Source organism: Homo sapiens, chromosome 4 (genome assembly GCF_000001405.40).
Source record: "Homo sapiens chromosome 4, GRCh38.p14 Primary Assembly".
Lineage (NCBI taxonomy): Eukaryota > Metazoa > Chordata > Mammalia > Primates > Hominidae > Homo > Homo sapiens.
The window spans coordinates 177,364,494-177,385,618 of NC_000004.12; the positions used below are offsets into that span (position 1 = coordinate 177,364,494).

Consider the following 21,125-nt stretch of genomic DNA (forward strand, 5'->3'; position numbering starts at 1 on the left):
CCACAGCCACTGGGAAGTAAGGGGGAAATCTCAGAAAGGACATGGAGAGGGGAGCCCCACATTCTGTGAAACTCTGCTGATGTCATTGACCACTGAACCATATATGCATGGGACAAACTGAACACGGAGCAACCTAAGATAAAAGAGCTGAGCTGGCCGGGCACGGTGGCTCACACCTGTAATCCCAGCACTGTGGGAGGCCGAGGCAGGCAGATCACGAAGTCAAGAGTTGGAGACCATCCTGGCCAACATGGTGAAACCCTGTCTCTACTAAAAATACAAAAATTAGCTGGGCGTGGTGGCTCACACCTGTAGTCCCAGCTACTGTGGAGGCTGAGGCAGTAGAATCGCTTGAACCTGGAAGGTGGAGGTTGCAGTGAGCTGAGATCTCGCCATTGCACTCCAGCCTGGTGACAGAGTGAGACTCTGTCTCAAAAAAAAAAAAAAATGCTGAGCCAAGATATTATCTGCCATGCAAGAAAGAGATTTTGCAATTTGAATCTAACCAAATTAATCTGCTGCTGAGATAAATACATCAACACTCTTTAGAAGACTACAGCAGGTCCTTGAATAAGACTTCATTCAACATCATTTTGTTATAACTATGAGAAAAAAATCACTTTCAGCCAAGGCCACTATCTGTGTGGAGTTGGCATGCTCTCCACATGTCTGCGTGAGTTTTCCTCTGGACACTGGGTTCCTACCACATCCAAGGATGTGTGCTTTAGGTAAACTGGCACATGTTCATGGTCCCAGTGTGAGCATGTGAGTGTGAGTTGCCCTGTCATGTGAGGGCATCCTGGCCAGGGAGAGTTCCCACCTGGTGCCCTGAGCTGCCAGGATGGGTTCCAACCACCTGCAACCCAGAACTGGAATAAGTGGGTTGGAAAATGAATGAATGTGAATTATAGGACAATAAAAATTTGCCAAGTATACAATACAATAATCATACAAATGCACAACAACACAATATGAAACATTTGCAAACATTTATTCTGTGAGTTAACTCATCACCACTACAACCACCATCAGTCCCTCCAAAATTTGGGTGACTAAGAAAAAGAAAAAAAATTTACTCTGACTGCAGTGTGGAGGGTGAATGAATTCATTCACCAAAATTTGAGTAACTATTTTGTTTTTATTAATCTTTCTTAAATATATGTACAGCTCACGTTTATTTTAGTGTTTAACATTAGAAGTCTGTTTAGAAGTTTGATGATGTTTTTGTGACCAGAAATATGCTGTAGGAATTTAACTCTGGTTTATATCAATTAGCCTTTGTGAAAATTGGTTCTGTCTTAGATTATTTTGCTTAAAGTCACAGTTTCCATGAACCTATCGATGATGTGAAGTGAGAAATTACTGCATGCCAAATCCAGAGTCTTCACCATATAATACCTATACTATTCAGGATACAGTCCAAAACTACACAGCATATGAACAATCAGAATGATGTGACCCAGTTTTAGAGGAAAGACAACCAAGACCCACCCTAAGATGGCCCAGATGTTGAATAGTAAACACAGATTTTAAAGCAGCTATTATAACTATGTTCATTGAAGTGAATGCTAGAGGGAAATAAAGCCAGGTGGAAATCCAAATATTCAAGAGGCAATACAGAAAATATGAAATTGCAAATATCTAAAGGAATATAAAATTTTTTTCCTTTTAGTTTCTTTAAAACATATGGGACTTTTAAAGCAGGAAATTAGCTTGTGAAATTTACAATGCAGGTAGATATATGTGACAACTATATCATCAAGGATGGAGAGATTGAAGGATCTATTATATGAGTTTTCTACATTTTATGTGAAGTGTTACCATATTAATTCTAATTGTACAAAGTTAATGATGTATTTTAATTATCTATTACCAAATTTGGGAAGTTTGCAACCATTATCTCTTCCAATACTTTTTATTTTGAGATGGAGTCTCGCTCTTGTCGCCCAGGCTGTAGTGCAGTGGCACAATCTCGGCTCACTGCAACCTCCGCTTCCTGGGTTCAACCGATTCTCTTGCCTCAGCCTCCTGAGTAGCTGGGATTACAAGCACCTGCCACCACGCCTGGCTAATTTTTGTACTTTTAGTAGAGACAGGCTGTCGTCATGTTGGCCAGGCTGGTCTCAAACTCCTGACCTCAGGTGATCTGCCTGCCTCGGCCTCCCAAAGTGCTGGGATTACAGGCGTGAGCCACCGCGCCAGGCCTCCAATACTTTTTCAATCCCATACTCTTCCTATTCTTCTGAGACTCCAGTGATACAAACGTTAGATTATTAGATTGTTATTGAGATCCCCAAGGAACATAGCCCAGATCCCTGAGACTCTCTTCCTTTTTTCCAGTCTATTTTTCTCTCTCTTTTGGACCAATTGAGTAAATTGTATTGATCTGTCTTCAAGGTCACTGAATCTTTTCCGTCATCTCCACTCTACTATTGAGATCATTCAGTGAGGTTTTATTTCAGTTATTATATTTTCCATTTCTATTACTTCCACTTGGTTTTTTAAAAATATAATTTCTGGGGTTTTTTTGCTAAGATGTTCTAGTTTTTTCCCCTTTGGTTTTGGGAGCATGTATAATTGATTTCTTGAAGCATTTTTGTGACATCTGCTTTAAAATTGAGATAATCCCCAAATCTGACGAATCTCAGTATTGCCCTCAGTTGAGCATCTAGTCTCATTCAGATGGCTGTTTTCCTGGTTTTCAGCTTGACAGGTGATTTTTTTCTCATCATACCTCGGATGTTTCAGTTATGTTAGGAGAGCTTAGATCCTATTTTAATCTTCTATCTTAGCATGCCATCAGCCTCTTGAGGTTTAGTGTGTAGGTTCTGGCCTGCACTGTAGGCTTTGGTTTCAATGACAGTGTCATTTACAGAGCCCTTGCGATGCAGTTCTGTTCTTTCTTCTGATGCTGCTGTGGCTCCTTATCAATCCCCACTGGTGCAGTCTGTGGGCACAGGTGATCCCCTGGGTTGCCTGCTGTTTCTGGAGTTGGGGAGAGCAGATGTCTCTGTGCCTGTGTTTCCTTATACCACTAGGTGGAGGGAAGCGGTTGCTATTGTCCCACATCAACCACATTGACTCCCACAGCAGCAGAACCTGGACAGAGCTGTCAGATTTCAGAGCCTGCATCTGTTAGTCCTTATGCTTAACTTGCGAGATGCTATGTGGTCTGCTGGTATTCATCTCTTTGGAGTTTATCTGCCCATTTCCTGGTATTTCAAACCAGCATCACAAGAATATAAAATATTTTAATGATGGGAGAAAAAACTGAGAGTCAGATAGACTGTGGGGAAGACAGTGATTTCGAGAGCCACTGTTTATTGAACCTTTCTTTGCAACAGCCGCTGTGCTGAATACTTGCCACAGATCACTTCACTTAATTCTCTTGACCACTCTGTGTAATAGACTTTGTTGCTGTTGTTGTGGTGTTGTCGCTATTTCTGATTTTTCAGTTAAGGAGACTTGGACTTCTGTAGGTTAAGTAGGAAGTGTGTCTGTGTCACACAAGCCATGGTTTGAATGAACTTTGTGAAGCACTGATGCCCACACCCTGAATAAGCTATTCTCCTTCTCATTTATTAAGGAAAAGTAGCTGTACCCAGAATTGCATGTCTTTAATATGTACAAATATCTAAGAGTCATCTATGTAGGAAAAATAAAGGGAAAAAATACACAAATGAAAATAATTGTGGTATGATGAGATTATGGTCATTTTTCTTTTCTAACATTTATGTTAAATTTACAATGTTAAAATTCCCATAAGTTCATTTTAAATTCTCATTATACATTTTAGTTCCATTATTTTATTTTTAAAAATCCACCGTTTTCATGTACTTTTCTAAAGGTACTTATCATTGTATATTATAGTTCATCAGTATTGGCAAATTGGGCAAGGAAACGAAAAAGCAAGTGTTCTCATGGGGTTCCTAAAAGATGAAACTTCTTTTTGTGGATGTCTTTACAGCACTGATATCTTTTCTGGAGTATACTATGGTCCGCATCATGTTGTATTTGTCCTTTCTGCATTTCTTAATGTTCACTTGCTTAAGAAATTATATATGACTCTTCCTTATTCTTCACAGAATCTTACCAAGTATTGTACTTTGCATACAGTAGAAATTTGGTAAATATTTGTTAAACTTTGTAGATGGAGGTTTAATATAATGTCAGTCTATTGAACATTTTTAACGTTGTTACCACTATTCAAACATGAAGGCAGTGAAATGTCATTGAAAAGTGTTACTGGAAAATTCCTGTATCTAAAAGCTGTTAAATCTTTCCAGTAGTTTAAATGAAAGTCCCTTTTTTTGGTATTTTCTAGAACTTTGCTTACAGATATACAGGCCAAAATTAATCGAATCAAAGGACATGCATTCAGTAAAAGGGAAAGAAGACACAGAAATAATGCTGCCTTACATCTACACTGTATTTAGGGACATATAGAGATGAGTAAATATAATTATATCTTACAATGCCCATGACTTTGTACCTCTTCGTCTTTTAGAAAACAAAGCCAACTGATTTAAATAAATGTTTAATTCAATTAATCTCTGTTGAACACCTACTATGTGAAAGATTCAGGGACAGGTATTTTTAAAGCGATCTTGCAGATACATAAATGAGGAAGAAATGATAAGGGAAAATAAGCACTTTAAGCAAAGTGCTAAAGGTTGCAGAGAGGGAAATTTCACATATGAGTCAGGAGCTAGGAGAGCTTCAGGAAAGAGGTAGGAAAGAGTTGACATGTCACCTTGATGAGGATTTGCATACGTAGAAGGGCATTTTAGGCAGCAGGCATAGCATATACAAAGATCTCTAAGAGCAGCAGCACTAGAAGGTGTCAGCAACAGAAATATTCCTGTTTGGCTAGATCATAGGGTATGTGAAGGAAAATGGGGAGATAAATGCGTAAAAGAAGAATCAATTCCCATTTCATGGCTATAAATGGATCCTGGGATGGGCCAGTTCTGAGTTCTGAGAATACAAAAATAAATAAATCACTCTCTCCTTAAGGAGCCCATGGGCAGATAAGCAAGCCAATGCACACTGAGATACATGCTAAACTGATGACGCAGAGGAACCCAAACAAATGAAAAAAATGATCAATCCTGCCAGTGGTGTGGGAGATGGTATGCATGGTGGTTAGTCACTCAGATTCTGAATAAAATTGAGTCCTGGAGTCAGACTGCCGGTCCCAAGATCTGCACCAGCCCTGACTGTGACCTTGACCATACGACCTCGATCTCAATGTTTGAAGTTTTGGCTAGTGTGTGCTAGGTCTTAGATGCCTCATCTGTTAGATGGTGACAATAACAGTACAGTTCTTAACAGGGCTCTTGTGAGGATAAAATAAAATATCCACGTGAAGGGTTTAGCATTGGCAGTTAAAGCTCTTGAGTTAATTTTATTATCTTTATCAGTAATAGCCCTGCTACTGTTATGTGTCACAACTATTCTCCTGGAATGTTTCAGAGAGGAAATAACAATGGCGATAACCTTAAAGAAGGACCTGAACTACACCCTACAGCAAGGGGATTAAGGATGGAAGGAACAGTGCAAAAGCTGTTTTTGTTTAGGGAACAGAGTCCAGAAGTTCAAAATAAAAGTATTTGGAAGAGATGCTGGGGTGAGTATTATGGTTCCAATGAGACATCAAAAATTTAGAAATAGGAAACATGAAAGAACTCATAAAAGTCCTTCATACATGACGAATTTTGAGAGCCAAAGCCTCAGATTAACCTAGGCATATATTATCCTATAGATAGAAATCAGGTATCAGAACAATGAATGTTATTACCAAAACTAATCTCTTTCTCTCTCTACTTCTTTGCAGCAGAGATTGTGGCTTCAAGTGCATGGAAACACTGACTATATAGTGTTTCTGGAGGAGCAGATTGTAGGGTCACATGGTTTCACCCCATGATGGATCCAAGTAGTTCCAGAGTCACATTCATTGAAATCTATTCGAGAAGGGGTAAATCCTGTACTCAAAGGAGGGCCTGGGGAACAGCAGAGAATGGAAGAAACCTATTGTTCTACTTTCTATGTATTATTTGAATTGTATTGACTTCTCTAATAAAAGAGTAATGAGGGAGGAAAAAAGAAGTTAAAAAGAGATGAAGAGCTGGGTGCAGTGGCTCATGCCTGTAATCCCAGCATGCTGGGAGGCCGAAGCAGGCAGATCACTTGAGGTCAGGAGTTTGAGATCAGCCTGGCCAACACGGTAAAACCCCATCTCTACTAAAAATACAAAAACTAGTCTGGTGTGGTGGCGAGCACCTGTAGTCCCAGCTATGTGGGAGGCTGAGGTGGGAGGATCACTTGAGCCAGGGAGGTCGAGGCTGCAGTGAGCCATGATCATACCACTGCCCTCCAGCCTGGGCAACAGAGCGAGACCCTGTCTCAAAAGAAAAAATAAGTGATGAAGAAAAAAGTGAAGACAAAAAAAAAAGATCCTCTGACTGCGAATAGAAAGGGAAGGATGAAGAGAACACCTAAAGTATCTATATTTATGTGGGCACTTGGCATCTGTTTTTGGTAATCAGTAACACAAATATATGTAATCAACAAAAGAACAGTCTTATAAATTTTTAAAACTACATACTAGCATTTTGTACTAAATGCTATCATAAAATGCAAAACTGCAAAACAAATTCAAAGTCTCATTACAACAATTCCATATCTACCTTCCATATTAACATATCTATGTCACTCCCAATCGCTAGCATGAGCATCTTGGTTTACCTATTAATAAATACTTGCCTGCTTGTAATATGCATTTATTTTTCTCATTATTATGTTATTACATTCAGCTTGTTTGGCACCATTTTAAAGAATTTATTTTGCTATCAATACCAGAAAACAATTTAGGAAACTGAATAGAGCAGGAAAAATGTTAAATCTATGTACTTGAGTTGGTTATTGACTCCTTAGTTTAATAACTCATTTTTTCAAACCTGAATAATTTAAATGCATTAGAAATGATACAGCATTAAAAAGTGCCTTCTGAAAATGGTAAACACTGGATCTAGGATCTGAGTTTGTAGTTATTACTTATTTAAAATAAACAAGCAAATTCCGTTGAGATACGGTCTCATTTTCAGGAATGGTCTATTAGCAGGCAGCAGTGAGCACAACAATTAGCCATATCAGCACATTAAAGCCTAATGTGTAAACTCAACATAGCAGCAAACACACGTCCTACCATGGCCTATTAAGTAATCAGAAATGATTGCAGATAATTAGCCCAGGAACAGCTGCATAAACTCAACTATTCCATTTTTTGTCAGACGTGGAGACTTCAAGTGGAAGGGAGGTTTATCAGGTATGTCTTGAATTGGGTGGGAGTACCACTGTGAAATGAGAGACAGATTCTAACATTTGACGGCATATTGCCATTTTACATCGTCTTCTGATCATACTCCTAACGTTCACATAAATATTGTTCTTGGGTAAAAATTATGGAAACAAAGATATCACCAGTGATTTAAGAAACTTGTAAAATTGGAAGTCAATATACGATAAAAAGTAGAAGTCGGTTAGTAAATCCCTTTAATGAGCGTGTATCATTCATACTTGTTTGTATTTTCAGTTCAAATTTGATTTTTGCATTCCCATCTATTCTTTCTGAGTGACATTAAATACAGCACCACTGGTAAATATATATTTGCATTTGAATTAATACGTATATTTGGTAAGTATTTCTTTTCTAAATTTAAAAAAATGTAGTCTCCTTTTTTTTCTATTCCTTTTTTACAAAAGAAAACATGCTAGGTAGAAGATGACAACTATCTGTAGATCTGAAAGACTGAGATAAAAAGAAAGAATTATATTTATTCCATGCACGTCCAGAAAAACAGAACTAAGATACATGAGTTTGATTGTTAAAAAGAAGAATAAAATTCCAAAAATTAGAATTTTAAAAAATGAAATGAGGACGCTGTGAGGTGCTTAGCTCCTACCGGGAATGTCATCAGAGAAATTCAGCGACTGACCTCCTGCAGGAGTAGATGTGGTTAAAAGGAACCTCAGGTTCCATCAAAGTTTCCTTCCCACTGTAATATTCTAGGAACTATAACTAAAGAGGTTGAAGTCCTTCAAACACAGCTTTGCTATACACTTGTCCAGAGACCAGCAGCAGATGGGAATGCCACCTCTTAAAGAAGACTGGAATCTATGTTTATCTGTGCCCATTATATCCTTAAGTTTGGACATTTAGCTGACCTTCTCTTTTAACATGGGTCTAATTTATTTGCTGTGTCATTTTCCATACAATTCAGTTGCTTTAAAAGTTCATTTCTCATACCATGAATTAAAATAAAAATTTGACCAATTAAAAAAACCAAAGAAAATGGCTCAGAATAAATGAATATATTATCAATGGTGCTAAACTTTTGCAGGGTAATTCCTGAATACTTGCATTAAAGATTTTGTATCATGAAATTACACTTAGCACATGTTTATTGTTTTTTGACAGTTTTCAGTTTATTTATAGGCCTACCAAGGATAAAATGGATAGATAAAATTAGAAACCATAAATTTCACAGAGAATTAGTTCTACTGTATATATTTTACATTTGTTTTCTCTCTAGTTATCCTCTTTTTTATAAGCGTTCAATCAACAAATGTTGAAGTGCATGATGTCAGCAAGGCACTGTGAAAGCATAAATAAAGAACAGTGCTTCAAGGAGTTTACAGTCTTTGGGGGGAATTAAGCATGCAAAGTAACTATTACAGCCCAATGTGACAAGGACTATAGTCGAGAGAGGTAGGATGCAAAGAGAAAACAGGAAAAAGAACTCCCATTTCAACCTGGAGGACACAAGGAATCTTCACAAAGGAGGTAGCACTGAAGAGATGAGTAGTTGCCACCTTCAAGCAAGTAGAGTTTAGGAGAAGCCTATAAACAGAGAATTTGTAAAGGACTACTTGACATGGAAAGGAACTAGCATATTGTAAATATGAATGATAACTGGAGCTAAAATCAACCCACTCTAATAATGGTCATTATTTTCATGCCGTTCATTCATTGCAAATTATTACCTGTTCTCACCCAACTTACCAAGAGTGGGCTTACTATAACCGCTGTTTCCTAGAGCAACACTTGTTAAGTAAAAGTGCTAATAAAATGTGAACTAGCAGCATCAGCACCAGCTTAGAGCTGCTTAGACTGTCCGGGATTAAGGCCCAGGAATGTTTGCTGTCCAACAAGCTCTCCTGGTAATCCTTGTGCATTCTCAAATTTGAGGACCCCTGTCCTCTGGAGGAAAAAGTATTTGCTTGTGTTTTAGATAACATTTTAATATACTACATTGGAACACACATGTGAGACTTCTTTTTTGAAATGTGTTGTAATACGTGGGTTAATTCATTTAAAATGGAATTGAAATGTGAGGTTGAAAAAAGAACAGTGAGTGCAGTGGGAGTCAGGCAACCTGATTTCTCATTTCAGCTCTGCCACTAAATAATCATTAATAATAATAATAACAATACATATGATTGCTAACAAATATATGAAACTCTGCCAAGATACAGAACTTCTCTTGGATCTCAGAGTCTTCAGCCATAAGACGAGAAGGTTGTATTAGAAGATCTCTAAAATCCCTTTCCAAATCTAAAATACATTTCTCAAAAAGTTTCCGCATTCACCATTTGCATAATTAAATAGTATAATCATCCCCAATCCCTTCAGATTAGCTCCAGTTGTTTTCAGCTTCTTGTGTCTTTTCAAAGCAGTACTGAAAAGACCGCTCTCTGCTGTGTTTCCCTGTCCATCACTCTTAAATCTGCTTTTCTTTCTGCCCTCTCTTTCTTTTAGGTCAGTGGTTAGTTCACTATACAATTGTTTAAAATGAGGTATTCTTACTTTTATACATGTAAATTCCCATGAAAACTGCTTGATTAAAACTCCCCCATAGACTTCTAGAAGAAAACAAAACAAATTGTACTAATCTCAGAGTGTGAAGCATCCTGTCTTGAAGGTCAATTGAACAATTCACAGGGGCTGAAAACTAACAAGAAAAAAAAGTTTCACTGAAGTTAAGATAGAGGAGAGAAGATCAGAGAAGCTAGCAACCCAGGGGAAAAATGTCACACTGCTGTTCGTGCACAAGGCCGCTGAATTTCCTTTTCTCTTCCTTTCTGTTTTTCCCTCCCTCCTTTCCTTTCTTCCCCTACTTCCTTTCTTCCTTCTTTTTTATCTCTTTTGTTGATGCTGATTGTCTATCTGTTGAATTGCTTTCACACCAAATCTTGCTTATGTAAACTATAATCTTCAAAAAGGCAAGATTTAATAACCCCCATAATATTTAGTGAATACCTCCCAAACAAATAATTTCTCAATAAAAGCTTAAGGGAAACACACTTAAAGAACAAATGCATAATGCATTATAATCCTGGCAACAGTCAATTAATTGGCTTTCTTTACAACCTATGAGTGCTTCTTCCCAAAACATTTTATTTGTATTTTCGCAAGGAGGTACATTTTTTCTTTCATCTGTCCACTGCTTCCTCGGCTCCTGCTCGCTTTCTGTTAGGATGTGTGACTGGGGTCGGACATATGCTGGCGCTTTGCTTGTATCTCACACACTGCAGTGTTTTAGCACTTCATATTTTATGTCCTGGCTCTCCAACTCCTAACGCATTCCTGGGTAATGCAGCTTCTGCCTGAGTGCCCTTGAGGCCCACTTAGAGCATGTGCATGGTTGATCTAAAACTTTTCAATAACCCTTCTCTGCCTCAGATAGGAAATTACAAGAGAATGCCCTATTTCAGCATCACATTGCAATCATTCTACCTCCATGCCTTATGGTCTTGCATCCTCAAATTGGTCTTATCTGCTATAGCTGATTGTCCAGTGCTTTCCAATGGGGCTGTAACTACAGCATGTTTCCAGCACCCTCATTTTGTTTCAGGAATGAACATAGATAATTTTGATCCATGGTCAACTCCAGTGGTGAAAATCTTCAAAGCTGTTAGTTATCAGTTCAAAAAAGATCGGAAGTAGTTCATTTCTAAATAGTACATCATTTCTGGAATGTGGATTACTATGTAAGCCTCTCTTGATGCCACTCTTAAAGAAACATGAGCAATAGTCTTTCAAAACGCTCTGTATGCAAATAATTGCTTTGTCACAGATCGTTTTTGAGCTACTTATTGTCACCCACTTTATTCACAATGTTAGCCTAATGTTACTCCCTCAGCTAACTATATTGATTCCCTCATTCTTTCTTTTCCCTTCAATAAGATATGCATAAATCAAACAAAAGAATCCTCAGAAAAGCTTTCTCTAAACCTCAGGTCAGTTCAGGAGCCCCTGTGATTTTTCTCAGTTCAGGTAAATCCTGTATATGTTCTTCCTAGAAATAATCACAATTGTAATGAAATCATGTAAATCTTGTTGATGAATACCTATCTTTCTTTTTTAAATGAATGCACTATAAGGGCATGGATTTTCTCTTCTTCAACACTGAATCCCCTGTGCCTAGGCCAGTGGCTTGAGTGTAATTGGCATTCCATAAATGATTGTTGAGTGAATATGTATCCTATTCCTTTATTAATTTTCCTAGCTGCTCTTTGCCTGTTATTGTATTTCTAAAAATGCAATCCTTGGCATTTTGCTGCTTTGCTGGTAAAGGCATTCTCTCCCTGTAGACAAATGGACACACGAATAAAGCTTTTGAAATCCAAATTACTATGGAAACAGCCCTTGTTTCCACCAGCTTGCTAAGTGGAGCACAGTGGCCACACATCTTACGCTGGAGGGAGCTGAAGTCACATACAAATTCTGGCTTCTCAGGTTCCCCTTTCCTTGTAGACACCCCCCAATCCTTCAGTTAGAACTTTTTTTCTTCAGGTGGGTTACAATGCAATTGATTGTGATTAGAGTACTTAATCTATTCACTATAACTGATTAAGTTACTGCTTGATTGTGTTACAGCTTCATCCATTTACTGTGATTAGATTGTTGCTAGAAATATATGGATACAATCAAGCTTCTGCTATTGTCAAATTCCTCAGGGTGTTCTGAATTTCTCCACAAAATCTTTTTGTCTGTTCCTTGGGGTATGTCATTTCCACAGATAACTAATCTCATCCATTACGTTTTGAATCTTCTTGATTTTATTCTCAGAGGACAACTTTATCTCAAAACTCCTGGGGTGACTTTCCTGCTCTCCCCAGTACTAACCATGCCTGACAAATAACTTACGGGGGGCACCAACTACGCTTTTCTTTGCCTTTCCTACGGTCTATTCCTTCATCTCAGAGAGGTGGTGGCAGAGACTCATTCATTTATAACTCCTAACAAAGAGTAGGAGACCTTTGTGTGAATTTTTCATCAGGGGCCTGGAATGCAAGTTATGCCAACATCTTCGATATATTAGAGGAGCAGATTACAGCCCAAGAACTATAATTTCTTGACACATAACCTAAAGAACTTTACCAGAAATGGAAAAACAGAACTACAAATACCTCCGTATGTTTTAATTTTAAAAAATAACTTTCTAAAATATCGTATCATGAAGAAATTCTCTTTATCTAAATGAGTGGCCATGTTATCTGCACTTTAGAGGTTGAATAAAATTGTCACATACTTTGAGATCCTCAATAACAGCTTTAATAATGTCTACTAAATGTTATTTGAATATGAACCCAGGTATCTGACAATCTCATGTAAGCAGAACACTGTGCAGTAAGTAAAACATGCTTTTGACAAGGTAAAATATAAATCCCCAAATCCCGGCACTCCATTTCTATAACTTATTTTGGGGGTGAACTCCTACCGTCTTAAAGATGAGGATCAGATTCTGCTGATTTGCTCTTTGTACATTCTTTTCATAAAACTGATCGTCTGATATTCAAGACTTTCAGAAAATGAAAGCAGAAATCAGAGGTAAGTTGAGAGTGGCTTATTGGTATCCATGCTGATAAAAACTAGAAAACACAGAAAAATGCAGGAAACTTCAAAAAGCAAAGACCGAGAATCCAACATATAAGAGCTGTCATATCTTGTCCAGATTTACAGTCATCCCTTTCTTATAGCATAAAATACTCATCCATGTTCATAGTAACAGCATCGAGGAATCAATTCAGTAACACACTGGTACCCTATCTGCAGCCTAACGTTTTATATTCGGCTCCTAACATGTTCTGGCACACGCCCTGGAATTCAACTTGCATAATGTCGAATGATGCTGTGAAAATCCGCTTCATAGACACACAATGGAAATTAGGTACTTTACATGGTAATTTTTAATGGAACTATTTCAAGAGAAGGGTAAGAGAAAGTTAAAGGGTATCAAGAATAAAGCAAGTAACCTGGTAACTGAGAGTTAAAAAAAATGGATGAAGAAGCCATCAAAGATTATAGAAAGGTCAGGAATATGGAGCTTTGAAAAATGGAGAGGTAACATAGTATAGCATCAGAATTCTAGATCTTCTGAAACTCGCAGATTAAAGATTTAAGAAGGCTATAAATGAGGTAGAGGTAGGATTTGATACAGAAAATGATTAAGATATAAATAAGAATCTCAGCATAGGCAAGATGCTGGTAGGGGGTATATTAGAAATGCTCAGGAGTGGATGACATGAAGAGGGGGAAATGGCAAGTTCAAGTCAAGGATAACAACTATTTTTGGCCTTGGGAGAAAAATAAAATGAGAAAATCTGAAGGAAAAAAAGAAGCAAAACCAAATCATGATCAGGCATAACTGGAAGGTAAATGACATTCTTTAAAAAATGAAGAACAAATTGACAAAGTTTAGGGAGATAACAGATTCAAACTAGGAACTAAAAAAGGTATCTGCCTTGAAATAGGTTTGAGACCAATATAATCATCATATATTCTCGTGAGAATCCATGGGATTCACTGGGAGATCCAAAATCAGGATTAATTGCACTCATGAAAGAGGCAATGAGGCAAGACTGGGAAATATTTTAAAAATTATAGAAAAACGCACCAAAAAGAGAGCTGTGCTTTGGAAATAAGGGCATGCATAATATAATCCAAACGGTATCTTACTCCTGGAGGCTCACCTCACCATTAAGGTGTCTGAGGCTCAGCTTTTAACAAGTATACTTCTTCTGATCTTCTAATTAGAGTGTGTTCATGAGAAACAGAAGGATACATAAGGACTTAGACAACATGTTAAGAATAGATTGCAATCATTCCTGCCTTACCAATTAGAATTATTTTTCCAGATCTCCTCATTAATTATAAAAATGGAAATTATTGTACTTGGTGCTTTACAATAAATATTCAAGCAACTGGAGCTGTAAAATATAACCTGGCAATTTAAGTGATTTATTACAGCAGCGTAATGCTTGAGACATTTCTATTAGCTGAAAACCTGAAATATTTCTAGTAAAATATTTAACCAAAAGAAGGTCTCTTTAGGCCAAGTAAAACCAGAGCACTTGTAACTGAGAAAGGTGGATTCGTCCTCTTCCTTCTGTCACAAAAATATCATCAAAATTACCTTTTACCATATTCCATTATATAAATAACACAACTTTGTATAATGTTATACATAAAAAGAATAGGAAAAATGAGAACTGAGTGCTAAGTGAATTACTTCCAGTCATTAGAAGAAACATAGATTTAGTAACATTGTGTCATTGTAATTGTTATGTTATGATACTTAGGTTTCTCATTAAATGATACCCATGTGTGGAATATTGTCCTAAGAACAAAAAGTGAACAAAATAAAGTAGTAAAATGAGCATTTTAAAATGACCCTTTTTCACCAAAAAGGTGTTATTAAATTATAGGTAATTTTCAATGCATTAATATTTTTGTGGTTTCTAATTAACTTTCTTTAATGGAAAAGTACTATATCACCAGAAATCACACATCATTTCAAAATTCATTGATAGTTTATACTTATTACTGCAAGATGTAGCTGACCTGGTCATTTTATTTAGTTGAAAAGAAAACAATAAAGCCAAATATAATTTTGCATGAGTCTATAATGAAAGTGTTTTGGAATGTGTAGATTTAATTGTACCCAATCTAACAACATCAGGCACAGTTTTCAACTACAGGGGGAAAAGGCAACAACCCTGTCTCTGTACATGGCCTCCTTCTTATGGGAAAGTCTTGCTAGAGTCTCACAATACAGACTGCATTTTACATTTCTTTTGATATTGACTTAAATAGCTTGTTATTGACAAAGGAAGAAATAGGTCAAAGAAACCGTTATAGTCACATCAAGCCTGTTCAGGGCTGTAAGGTTTCACTAATTGTGCACATTTCTCCGAAGTGAACGGTAGCAAATCCAGCCCTCACCACATGCTCTCTGGCCTGCCTCGTTTTGTATTGAGCCATATTTTAAATTACTTGTCAATATTTATAATTGGAAGGTGTCACTTGAAAAGCCTAGATTTATGGATCCTCTTTAAAAATCAGAGATGGATCCACATTCCCCCATGGGCTCCCTCTTTCTGTAAGGTACTTGATCACTTTCGTCCCAGCCCTAACTATTCCTTGTTGTCCCTCCAACACTGAAAGAACATCGATTGTCCTTAAACAACTTTCTAGCTCACACCCATTTTACTTCTCACATTTATGTCACCTGCCTGGCAGTGCATGTGTGTTTGATGCCCACTCTACGAGCCTGGAGGATTAGCTTTGTCATGCCTTATTCCTCGACCCACGATCATTTCCTAGAGTCTAAGTCTGCATTATCTTCCAGATACCATCTCTCAGTGCTTGGAATAACTTTGAAGATTTTTCTGTCTTTTACGTTGTAAATTTAACCTGCACAGTGAAAAGATGTGGATTTATTTTCATTCAGCTTCCTTACTTAATCCATTCCTTCCGTTAATGTTCTGTTTTATATTTTTAATATCCTTATGTCCTGCATGGGAGGTGAATTCCTTTTAAATTAATATTTTAATTTATTTAGTCTCTATTTAATTTTGCCTAGTCCCAAGGTTATTGCATATATTTAGATTTTGTCTGCTTTTCTTTTCAAAAATGTTATCTGTTTCTTTTCCCTAACCATTGCTATTTTAACATGTGTTTGCTATGTTCCTTCACTGAGACTCCTAAACATACTTATTTTAATGTAATTTTCAGCATACTATTATTTGTCTTTCTTCCAGAGTGAATTAATCTCCTGATGTTTCTGTTTTTATTTTATTGACTGTCTTTCCTAGCTTTGCTTTTCCTTATGATGCAGGAATTTTTCTGAGCCCCTTTGCTGGGCTCGCGGTAGAAGACCACCGCATCTACTCAGCGCACCTAGCCGCGCCTGAGGGCAAGTCTCTGGCGCGAATCCCACAGCCACTGTGACTGCGGTGAGAGGCAGCATGTGAGTGAGCGAGTGCGGGGTCTGGCCAGCTGCTCCCAGCATCAACATAGGAGCAGGCTCCATGTGCGGCCCGCGGCCAAACGAGGTGTCACCCCAAGGGGAATGTGGTGACCCACTCAGGCAGGGATGCCCGTGACCCCGAAGCCCCAGAGGGGGTGTCACAGTGTGCTAATTAGCTCTTTTAGTTCTGCTCCCCACAGCCCAATGGACAGTGGTGTGTTAGCAGCTCAATCAGCCCCTTGCCCTGCTCTAGTCCACGGCTGCGGGACTACCTCGGCCCCGCCACTGCTTCCGGTGCATGGAGCAGCTGCCCTCTGCTGGCAAAGGCAGAGGGCCACAGTGTTGCAGCCTTTCCAGGCACCCATGTTTGCTGGGTCCTGAGCTCTTGTCCCACATTCATGAAGAATGAGGTCATGCTGACAACTGAAGGGTGATCAGGGCAGAGAATTTTATTAAATGACAAAACAGCTCTTAGTGGAGAGGGGACAGGAAGGTAGTCTCTCACCTGAAGTTGGGTCATCTCCCCCAGTATGGCTGAGTCTAGGATTTTTATACTCATAGATGGGGGAGGGGCGGGCCAAAGGTAGTATTGGAAAACGTAACATTCCATTGGTTAAAAAGCATTATTCAGAAAGAACCAATCAGGAAAGGACAGGCAAACAGGAACGGAAGTTCCCACTCTGGGTCACGTTTTTCATCCGGAACCAGCAGTCCAGTCTTTCAGCCTTCAGGCTGTTTTTGACTTGAAGGTGGGATATCACAAGGGACCGGCCCCTATCTGCCTAGGCATTTGACTGCCTCCTGTCACTTATCACTCATATGTTTAAATTTTTATTTTGTTTTAGGTAAGTTTATATATCCTTTTTCTACATTTGGGTTTTTTTTTTTTTTTTTTTTTGGCATTTTCTTTTGCTTTAAGGGTACTCTTTATATATTAGCTTAATTTGCCCATAGTGTGGTCAGGGGCATGGTGTGTTAGCACTTCCCCGAGTGTGTGCAAACCGGGCCAGGCTGTGACAGCACCTGGGCTTGGCCCCAACCGCACTCTAATATCAGAGTGGGCTCCTGGAGTGGGGAGAGGCCAGGCAGTAGGAACAGAGAGGGCTTTCCTGGGCCCGGAGGGTGCAGACTACAGAGATGCCTGGGTCCTGTGCCTGGGAGGGCGGGACTCCTGCCCACTCCATGGCGCATGCAGGCAGCCCCGGCCACACCTCCTTACAGCCTGGGGTTGGGGCTCCAGGTCCTCACTGGGCCCCTCTCTGTCTGCCCTTCCATGCCTGACTGGGCTGCTCCCCTGCAAACAGGTGGCTTAGCCTGGCCCCATCGTGGCAGCCCCCAGGGCAGGAGGCTCTGGGAGGTCTCCCACTTGTCCCTGGCTCCCACCGGCAGTGTGGAACATGGCAATGCCCCAGGCCCAGCTCTGCCTCCTTCCTGCGTCCTCCTCACAGCAGCCAGTGTGATGGCAGTGGCTGCCCTGGACGGTCCGCCGCTGCCATCATCAGCATCTCTGAATCTAAATTGATCAGAAAACACTCTCAATCACATAGTTGGTCTCATTTTAAATTTAATTATTTATTTTATTTTTGTGTAGAGACAGGGAGGGTCTTACTGTGTTTCCCAGGCTGGTCTCAAACTTCTAGCCTTAAGTGAGCCTCCCACCACATCCTCCCAAAACACTGGGATAACAGGCATGAGCCACTGCACCTATAGATAAAACTATAGATTTAAAATATTAAAATAAAACTATGGATTTATTTTAAATATTCTCTTTTGTCCTAGAACATCAAACCTCTAAAAGCCTTCCATATCCTCACTTTCAATTGTCTATATCCTATGTCACTAAAGAAACAGAAGCAATCAGAAGAGAACTTCCATTAGCTTCCTCTGTCACCATCTACCCACCTGCATTGAGCAAGTTAAATCTTATTAGTGTGCCTCCTCCAGAGAAGTACTTCTTCAGTGGCAGTGTTTTAATGATGTAAAGAAGTCTTTATTAATCAGAAAGAAATCTTACAATAAATAATTTGGGAATGCAAATGTCTTTATGATCTCATACAATTTTATTATTCCACCATAAGTACTATTATTTTAGATCTTTGAGATCACTGATAAATTACTTAAACATCATAGTATATTACAAAGTTGAAGTGTCAGTCGCTTCGTGAGCCCCTGATACTGTCTTCAGCATTGCCCTTCTTAGAAAATTGATTCATTGACTGTTTTGACCTCATTGATCTTGATATATCTCCAACATAATTTCAGGGATGCATTATAACTGAGGCTGATTTGAAATTATTTTCTCTTAAATAGCATCACAGAATGAACCTGATATTAGGAAATCTATGACATTAAGTAACATTTTTTAAAAGACTTTTTACATTCATCCCTCAAGAAGTAGAGCGCATGTCCTTTTTCTAGCAGCTGCAAATGACAACCTGCACAAGTTCAACAATCCACAACTATATACATGGCTACTATGCATGAATCTGATGACTGCAAAGGATTGGAAGAAAAGTTATAAATAGGTGGTCAGGGAAATGTCACCTTAGTTCTGAGACTATAGAAAAACTTTTCAGCTGTACCTGGAGAATGTAAAAACTACTGCTTAATAAATGAGTGTTTAGTCAAGGAGAGAGGGTTTTTCGTTTTTCATACTCTACTTGATCTTAACGGGCTCTTTTATTTTTCAAGAGTAGTCTATGATAACTTACTTTGGCATTCTCTCCTTGAGAGCTAAAATTCTGTAACTCTATCAAGCTGGTTGCTTATTGCTCTTCTGTGAATAGCATACTCTGTCCAATCTATTTCAAAGGACAATACTCCAGGCATAACATATGATGCAAATATAATGTGGCGATCTGACTTTCAAGAGGTATTTCCTAAGAAGCACGTTTAAGCAAGAGCAGCATGCCACAATCAGCCCTTGTATGTATTATATGAAACCGACTTAAGTGTTACAGAGTAAAGTAACAAACTTAACTTTCTCAAAAACAGATCATATCCCAAAGATTGAAAATATCTTGTTCTCTACAACTTTTAGCTCATAAGCTCAATTCTCTACCTTTCCCTGAGCATGGTTTGATGCTCCTTAGACCCCAAATGGAGAAGAGAGTCCTTCTTTCATGGTTTCAGCTCCACTTAAGAGATTCATGGTAGGTGGCTTAGTCCTACTGCTACAACAAAAATACCCCAGGCTGTGTAATTTATAAAGACAATACATTTCTTACTCACAGTTCTGGAGACTGAGAAGTCTGAGATCAAGGTTCCAGTAGATTTGGTGTCTGGTGAAAGCCTGATCTCCGCTACCAAGATGGCACCTCGTTACTGCATCCTCACACGGCAGAAGGATAAGGCAGCTCTGTTCAGCCCCTTTTATAAGGGTATTAATCCCATTCATGAGGTTGGAGCCTTATAAAATGACTTGTTTCACAAAAGACCCCACTACTTAATAATATCAGGTTCCAGCATGTGAATTTTGGGGGGATGCCAATATTCAGACCATAGGGACAGGTTTCTCCCACTGTTCCAGATATCAAACCTGGAAATGTACATTGTATAACACACCCAAGACCAAGAGGATAAACAGAACTAAGGAGGTATATTAGGAGATCCTCATTCAGGCGGGGCGTGGTGGCTCATGCCCGTAATCCCAGCACTTCGGGAGGCCAAGGAAGGCGAATCACCTGACATCAAGAGTTTGAGATGAGCCTGGCCAACATGTTTCTACTAAAAATACAAAACTTAGCTGGGCGTGGTGGCACACACCTGTAATCCCAGCTACTCAGGAGGCTGAGGCAGGAGAATTGCTTGAACCTGGGAGGCGGAGGTTGCAGTGAGCCGAGATTGCACCACCGCACTCCAGCCTGGGTGACAGAGTGAGACTCCTTCTCAAAAAATAATAATAATAAATAAATAAATGTTTAAAAAAAAAAGATCCTCATTCAGTGTGTCAAACATAACAATCACCTGATATAACTATAAAGATAGCAGTCAGCCAAGTTATCACAAAGAATTTTTAGGCAATAAACAACAACAGTACCAAGCAAAGCATGATGTGCTTTCTAACATTCCTCCTCAAGACCTAGCCTCTTCCCAACCCCTTAGATATCATCACATATGTGTCAGTAGCAGTCACTCAATGACAGCATCTCAGAGTAAATTCTGACTCCTTGCTGTAAAAATCAGAACAATTTTCCCTACAGCGGTCAAAATGTTTGCATCTTCCTCTCTACATATCAGAATCAAATCTCTGGTTCAGGTCACACTCATCTATCTCATAGCTGAATGACTGTAATTTTCTCCACTGTGAAAATCATCTCTTTGGTCTTTCAGTTCTGCTTGACTATGTCAAAATCTTACTGGCTTCCTTTGGACTTCTGTATTAAATTCCATTTCCGCTCCCTCGGTTTCTTTCTGTTTACTCAACAGCATTACAGCACTCATCTAGCCAGGCTTTGCCACCTGCCCCTTCGGTTTAGAGCAGCAGTTCTCAAATGTTTTGACCTCAGAACTCCTTTACATTTTTAAAAATTAATGAGAACCAAAATGTTGATGTGTGTTCATTCTATCTATCACTATTCATTATATTAAAAATTAAAATGGAGACATTACAAAAATATCTACTTATAAACCCTTCACATGTTGACATAAAATATTTTTATTAAAAAACTATTTTTTCAAAACAAAAACAAAGCAAGAAGAGTTATATTGTTTTATATTTATGCAAATCTCTTTAATGGCTGGCTTAAGAGTGTTGGATTCTTATTTCTGCTTCTGAATTCCATGTGGCAATGTCTTCTTTTGGTTTAA

General features: G+C 38.7%; 1 protein-coding gene and 1 long non-coding RNA gene across 4 annotated transcripts in view, besides 2 other annotated features; one reads left to right on the forward strand and one right to left on the reverse strand.

The window, feature by feature from the left end:
- NEIL3 (nei like DNA glycosylase 3) overlaps positions 1–6,775 on the forward strand; it is a 61,395-nt gene extending 54,620 nt beyond the window's left edge. The window contains exons 11-12 of the mRNA XM_047415894.1: positions 5,476–5,629; positions 5,837–6,775. The gene's annotated coding sequence lies outside the window, so the exon portion shown is untranslated. The remainder of the gene's footprint in view (positions 1–5,475; positions 5,630–5,836) is intronic.
- The window catches only part of LOC105377558 (uncharacterized), a 38,644-nt gene extending 21,783 nt beyond the window's left edge, over positions 1–16,861 (reverse strand). Inside the window, exon 1 of one of the 3 annotated variants that reach the window (XR_007058384.1) lies at positions 16,822–16,861. This is a non-coding gene — a long non-coding RNA (uncharacterized LOC105377558). Of the gene's footprint in view, positions 1–12,785; positions 12,866–16,821 lie in introns of those variants that run through there. The other 2 variants (XR_001741926.2, XR_007058383.1) reach the window with 2 other exon arrangements.
- Positions 2,902–3,196: a silencer, noted in NCBI's record as "tiled region #1660; K562 Repressive non-DNase unmatched - State 13:Ctcf". NCBI's record gives its function as "represses a minimal TATA promoter and a strong SV40 promoter by Sharpr-MPRA in K562 cells {active_cell/tissue: K562}" and the evidence as "EXISTENCE:reporter gene assay evidence [ECO:0000049][PMID:27701403]".
- Positions 16,482–16,776: an enhancer, noted in NCBI's record as "tiled region #1546; HepG2 Activating non-DNase unmatched - State 12:CtcfO". NCBI's record gives its function as "activates a minimal TATA promoter and a strong SV40 promoter by Sharpr-MPRA in HepG2 cells {active_cell/tissue: HepG2}" and the evidence as "EXISTENCE:reporter gene assay evidence [ECO:0000049][PMID:27701403]".